Source organism: Homo sapiens, chromosome 13 (genome assembly GCF_000001405.40).
Source record: "Homo sapiens chromosome 13, GRCh38.p14 Primary Assembly".
Classification (NCBI taxonomy): Eukaryota; Metazoa; Chordata; class Mammalia; order Primates; family Hominidae; genus Homo; species Homo sapiens.
In genome coordinates this window covers 65,632,592-65,639,047 of record NC_000013.11, presented here as the reverse complement: position 1 = coordinate 65,639,047, position 6,456 = coordinate 65,632,592, and the positions used below count along the sequence as shown (strand labels likewise).

Sequence of the window (6,456 nt, the reverse complement as noted above, 5' to 3'; positions counted from 1 at the left end):
AGTCAATTTTTGAGAAGGCTGCTCTAATGCTTAGCAAATTTAAATAATTGTGAATGATGCAGCCTGTGAAAAAAACATCAAGTCTTTTGATAATTTTGAGTGCTTATGAGTTAAAAGGCACACCATTGGCAGTTTGGAAATGGTAATGGAGATCAAAAACATAACACAGTTTAGTATTAAGGCCATAAAGGTGGAGTTAACTTATCAGAATGGAAAAAGAACACTAACTTGAAGTTTCAAAATATTGGTGTAACACCACTGACAGCCTCAAGAGGGAGTCAAAGTTTTAGGCAGTCAATCTTCCGTGAAGGAGCACAGCTCATACCCCATGTTATGGGGCCTCCTTATTAAGAGATGAACAACTCAAATTCAGCAGAAGCTACGAGTTTGACATGTACTGATCACCTCTTCATAACAAACATGTAGTACTTTAATTTGTGCCTAATCTGTAATGGTGATGTATTGCTCATCTGGTACAAAAATGGTTGCAGGTAGATGGGGGCAATAAACCAGTGCAGGCCCTATAAGCAGATTGATTCTAGTGGGTATAATCAGAGAATGGGCTCTCACTGCTAGCTTCTATATGAGTGACCCAGAGAGTACAATCAGGAGTTGTGATTTCCTTCCACAGTTCATAGGCCCCAAAGTGAAATGCATTTAACATGCCAACCTACAGTTTCTGAAGCAAAAGACCAAAGAGCTAGGCCATTAGCAATATTCCATAGGTTAGTACAAGTATAACAAAATTCATCAAGGAGTGTATTGGGCAGTGCTATGAAAAAAAATTAGTCTTAAATCCTGCTCATTGAACGGAGAAAAAGAAAATCTCCATTCAGTTCTTCATGAATGGCACTGAGGTTAAAAAGTGTCACCAGCTCAGGGATCACCGTTGAGTTTCAGTTTAGCTGAAACATCAGTGGATCAGGTTGAAGCATTTAGGGGAACTTTTATGAATAGTGGACCCCATTTAGCTGGGAGATTTTTCTCCAGAGAGTAGAATGAGGATTTCAGTTCCCACAAAGAACTAGCTGCCACTTTTTTATATCAAGTGGTGATGGAGCGGGGCCCAGGAAAGCTGCATTTTTAAATATCCATTTACATTTGACAAGTGAGGTTTGTTGGGACCTTCCCACTTTGTTAGTCATAGAGCCTGAGTTGGCTTACCCCAAATTAACAGATTAAAGAGTCACAAGTTCTCGGGGAGTCAGACATTTTTTTTTTTTTTACAAGCGCCCAGTAGCAAGCTCATAGCTATTTATAAAACACAGTTTACATGGTAATCATGCTAGAGAAATGAAAGGTCTAAAACCCAAAGAACCACCTTAGGTGGAGTATATCTTCCTTTGCCAGAGGATCCAATCAGCAAAATCATTAATCACACAGGCTTATAACTCAAGGTGTCATCAGGGTTGCATGTCCCCAACATTAGACTCCACAGCTTTCTGGATATTTTCCAGTGAAACCTGTTGATTTGGACCCCACTCAATAAATACTGATTTGTGAATTAACAAATATCCAAAAAAATCCAAGGATGCCCAAGTGATGCACTTAGTGTCTTCAATACTTGAGTTCCATATGGTTCTGGGCCTCCCTTTTTACCTGTGGGGAGTTGAGGGGATGGCAGTTTTTCCTTGACTGCCAGAGGAATAGAGCATTGTAAGGCTTCCCACATAATCCAAAGAAAATTTATTTGGTGAACAGGCCCCTGAATTTTTGTCAGAAACTATAACCTACCTCTGCTGGCAGAGGTTTGATAACAAACTAATCAGGGTTGATGAAACTGAGGCTTCTGACTTGGCAATTAGTAGGTCATCATCTATAAGTGAGATCTTCGGACAGCAGAGGTAGAGATACTAATGCTACATCCTTATTTAACAAAGGTGGTGGAAAGGGATTCCAAGAGAGTTTGTCTCCCTAACACTTTTCTACATTCAGCAATTCATTATCAAGAAAATAATCTCTGACACTTTGGGTACAAATATATAACTCATTGAATTTTATTATGCACTCAAATGTAGAAGCAACAGTAGTAGATTTGTGTGGTATAAAGGGCCTCCAACACAAGACCATGATAGGCTCCATCCTCCACTGTGAATTTGCCCAAAACCCATCCATTGAATTCATACACCTCTGCCCCATGGTACAAGGCAGGATTTTGACTTTGGTGCATGTGAGAAACAAACTCACTTGTCCAAACCCAAAGAATGGACTCAGGGGCCCAGAAAACAGTGAAAGTGAGACTTTTAATGATGGTCTTGCAAGATCAGGTGTCTGATGAGTAGGCACACCCAGCATAGTTTCAACAAGCAATTTATCCCCTAGTGTGCAGATCCGTTTCCCGGTTCCTCATAGGCTGAGTACTATGGGGTCACAATCTTTCCAGATGTCGCTTATTGATTGTTGGGTAGGGGCTTTAGGTGTTCTCTTTAGGGTTTTCTTGCTGCATTTTGTTGCAGCCCACAATGCATTGCAATCCTAGTTAGCTCAGGGGCTTTTCAAGTGGTATGACTTTTCAAGTGACTTATGACCTAAGAAGCTGGGCAGGCTGATAAGAACAGACAAAATGAGCTATTTTGCAGGCTTGAAACTTTTATCTTATACTAAACTTGTTTCGTTCAGGTGTGGTGGGGGTAGGGTGGGGAGGGGGAGACCCAAAAGGAGGCATCAGTTATCCATTCAGGGGCCTAGTACATCCTGTTTTTTCTGTAGTTTGCTGACCTAAGCCAATTCAAGGCACTTTGTCTTGAAAATGGACCACTGTATACATTATTTCCTTCAGTGCCTGACTCTAACAGAGGCATAGATATTTTATTTCTGCTTCTCTCCAGAGCTACTCAGTATATGCAAACAGGTGTGTATGATTTTCAGTCTTTGCTGTGGACACTGAGTCTTTGGCTCCAACTCTAATCATCTTCTTCCTTAAAGCATATTAGTTAAGGATAGAGGAAAAGAAAGAAGTCAGGAGTGCAGAGGAGAATAGTTTCTTAGTAGTAAGGCTTACAGTGGCATTTCAAAACTCCCTATTAACAAAGGCTAACAAAGAAAAAATTTTATGGGTCCACTTTCAGTATTACAGAGCATGGCAAAAATGGTAGATTTGGAGCAAAGAGACACGAAATAAATAACTAGCATGATCTAACCCACTGGCTACTCAACAGACATAGATAGCATTCTTCAAACCCAACAAGAAATAGCTATTCCTCTTTCAGGTGTAGATAGCTTCACCTTCTTCCAATAATAAGAAGGCTAATACTTTCAATAGTCGTTATATCCATCTCTAGTTATGTTAATTACTTCTCAATTTTTCTCATTGTACTACTGAACATAGATATGGTGCAGATAATAAAACTAAATTGTGAAGATCACTTCTAACAAATTGTATTTAAAATAAAAATTCACAGAAGTACAGAAAATAATAACATTTTATATGCATACACACATATAACAAGCAGAGAGAAAATATGAAAACTCTTAGGTTGTTATTACAATGTCAAGGTTAATATTTATGACATTTCTTCTACTATCCATTCCATATTTTTCTTGTCCAGGTTTTTCCCCTCGTGGAGTTACATAAATCCTTTTTGAATGGTCTGGCTTCTCAAAATTTTTCTCTTTGTTAGATACTATATTTTTCCATTAATCTGTACTATTGATAATATAAGTACAAAGAGGTACCTTCAGAGAATTTTCTGGTTTCCAGAGATATTCTTTCTTTTGGCTTGACTGATCTTCTACACAACATACCTATTTGCCATGGACACTTTGAATATTATTACATAGTTTGGAAAATAATGTCCAGTTGAGAGTGAAGCTTGCATTACAGCCTGGATTTGCTTCAGAGCCTTCTCTTGCTCTGGTTCCTGCTTGCAATTGGTAGTCTCATGAGTGACTTTGTGATGAGTTGAAGTCTCAAAAGTCTTACTGTATTATATTGACAGGTACAAAAACTTTTCTTGACTATAGAGATGGCATCTTAGTGTGCTTCAGACCACTGAAACCAAGCAACTTTATGTAGCTAACAGGCCCCTAAGGTTTTGTGGTATTTATTTTTCATTCCTTATTTCAAAGGATGGAAACTTCTTTTGTAAAGGACAATATAATAAATATTTTAACATCTGTTGTACAGAGTGGTGCTGCTGCAACTACTCTACTTTTGCAATATCAAAGTATCCATAGATAATATGGAAAGAAACGTGCTTGACTTTGTTCCAATGAAGTTTTATTTACAAAATATTTAGCCTGCAGGCTATAGTTTTCCAATCCCTCTTCTAGTTGGCATAGGTCATATTGAGGCACCCAAGTACTCTTGACTCTTTTTCTCCTAAAATTCAGTCAAAATGATGCAGTCGATAAGGAGCAACATAATGTTTTGTGGAATTCTGTAAAGTTTTGTAGACCATATTATGGCAGAGAGCATAGCCCTGAGGCAAAGTTGTGAAGTTGTACTATTGGTCTTACTAGGTAAAGGAAAACTGCTTCTAATAATCTTTGCATATTGATATGAAATACATATATATATATATATATATATGTATATTGGTTAGGTCAATAGTTGCATGCCAAGTGCCAGGGCCTGTGATGATTTGTCCAATAACAATACTATGTCCAGACAGCAGTTTCAACTGGAGTTAAAATCAGATTAACTTTGAAATAATCCATAGTTATTATCAACAGCCATCTGATTCTACACAGGCTAGAAAGATGACATTAAAGGAATTTAGTAAATGCCATCACCAACAATTTTTAAAAATATATTTATAATGGCAATTACCCTTGCAGTTCTACCTAGGATGACATTGCTTCTGTGGCATTAGACTTATTACTGATGTTATGAGTCTAATGGTAATAGTATGTGATTATGTTGCCCCTTACAAAGTATCTACTCCAGAAACACACAGACACACACACACACACACACAACTTTCACAAGCTTTTAAAGTACAGAAAGCAAGAAGGCAAGTCTGTGAAGAGAAACAAGAGGAAACAATACTTTCACTAGTAAGGAAAGCACAGAGTAATCCAGGAGTCCAAAATCTCTTCTTTTATCTGAGTCCAAAGTTTCCATTTCAAGTATTTCCAGTTTCAGAGTCCTCCTTTTTTCCCAATCCATACACTATTTGTCATATGAGAACTTGGCGAGGCTGTGAATTCAGTTGATGTTGTATTTTGCTGCACATATTAAATTTTGTGTTTGATTTTTAGCAATATTGGTTCTGTGGATACAAGAAATAACAGATTATTTTGTGGCTGCCATGGAAACTTTAGTTTTAGTTTTCAGACTGTAATGTAAACTGATAGTTACAGGCTTGAGCTTATCATTTTCTCTCTATAAACACTGTAGTGCAGTTAGAGGAATCCATATAATACCACAGTCAGATAGTTACCATCATCACTTCCATAACAGTCAAGTAGAATGGCCTCTTGGGCTCCCAAGGCACTTATTTCAGTTAGAAATTTATAACAACCAACTGCATGTAATAACTTAATAAATTAGACACCGCCACACGCTATGGATTGCTAGCTACTTAGTGATCATATGCAAGGAACACAGCGCTACACGGAAGCCCAATCCAATCCAGGAGAGACTGTCTCCTGGAATCTCCCTCAATGTCAATTCTGCATCAGTTAGATCTAGTTCAGAGAAAGAAAACACATTCGGAATTTGAAAAAGATAATTTTCATATAAGGAGTGTTTAACTAGACAAAAGTGATCGGCTACTAAAAGAGGTAAGAAAGTACACTAAGAAATCCAGAATTAGCAAATGCAAAATGAAGCAACTATCTGGAGACTAGTAAGAGTGGTGAAAACAGAGGATGCCTACCCAAAGATATTCAAATCTCTTTAAAGAAAGATTGACTCACACAGAAACAAACAAATAAACAAAACAATGATGTCAAAAGTTGCCTGAAAGTGTGGGCTAGAGCCATTCTGTAGAAGTCACCTACAATTGCCGCCAGGTATGAGCAGGCAGAGGTGATCTAGAAATGTGTTCACTGAGCTGAAAAGAGCTGATAGAAGGCACAGCCAGAGCTGCTATGGGAAGGATCTTTGGGTAGAGAAAGTTAACTCAGGCAGAGGCAGAAATAATCTATAGAGGCAGTTGCTTATGTAAGGAAGCTGCTGTCTGAAAGGTGGTAAAAATTCGTTTAAAGAAAAAGCCCATTGATGGGGAGAGTATGGTCTCCGACTGCAGAAAGAAATGTCCTCTACAAAGTATCATAGAGTTAGAGAGAGAAGAGCTTGAATGACAAATGTCATCAAAACATCCTTGGTGCAGAGAAAGGCTGTGAGCTCCAATGATATCGTTGGTGAAATATGATTAAAACAAAATCTCCTGGCACCCTAGAAAATCTCTTTATAAAAGTATGAGAAATAAACCTGTTTTGTTATTGAATAAGCATTAAAACAGAGTGTGATGGGCATCACAAGCAGTCATGAAAGAGATTAAGACAGAA

At 37.9% G+C, this 6,456-nt stretch overlaps 1 annotated feature.

Moving 5' to 3' along the window:
- Positions 277 to 571: a silencer, noted in NCBI's record as "tiled region #7593; HepG2 Repressive non-DNase unmatched - State 13:Ctcf, and K562 Repressive non-DNase unmatched - State 13:Ctcf". NCBI's record gives its function as "represses a minimal TATA promoter and a strong SV40 promoter by Sharpr-MPRA in HepG2 and K562 cells {active_cell/tissue: HepG2 | K562}" and the evidence as "EXISTENCE:reporter gene assay evidence [ECO:0000049][PMID:27701403]".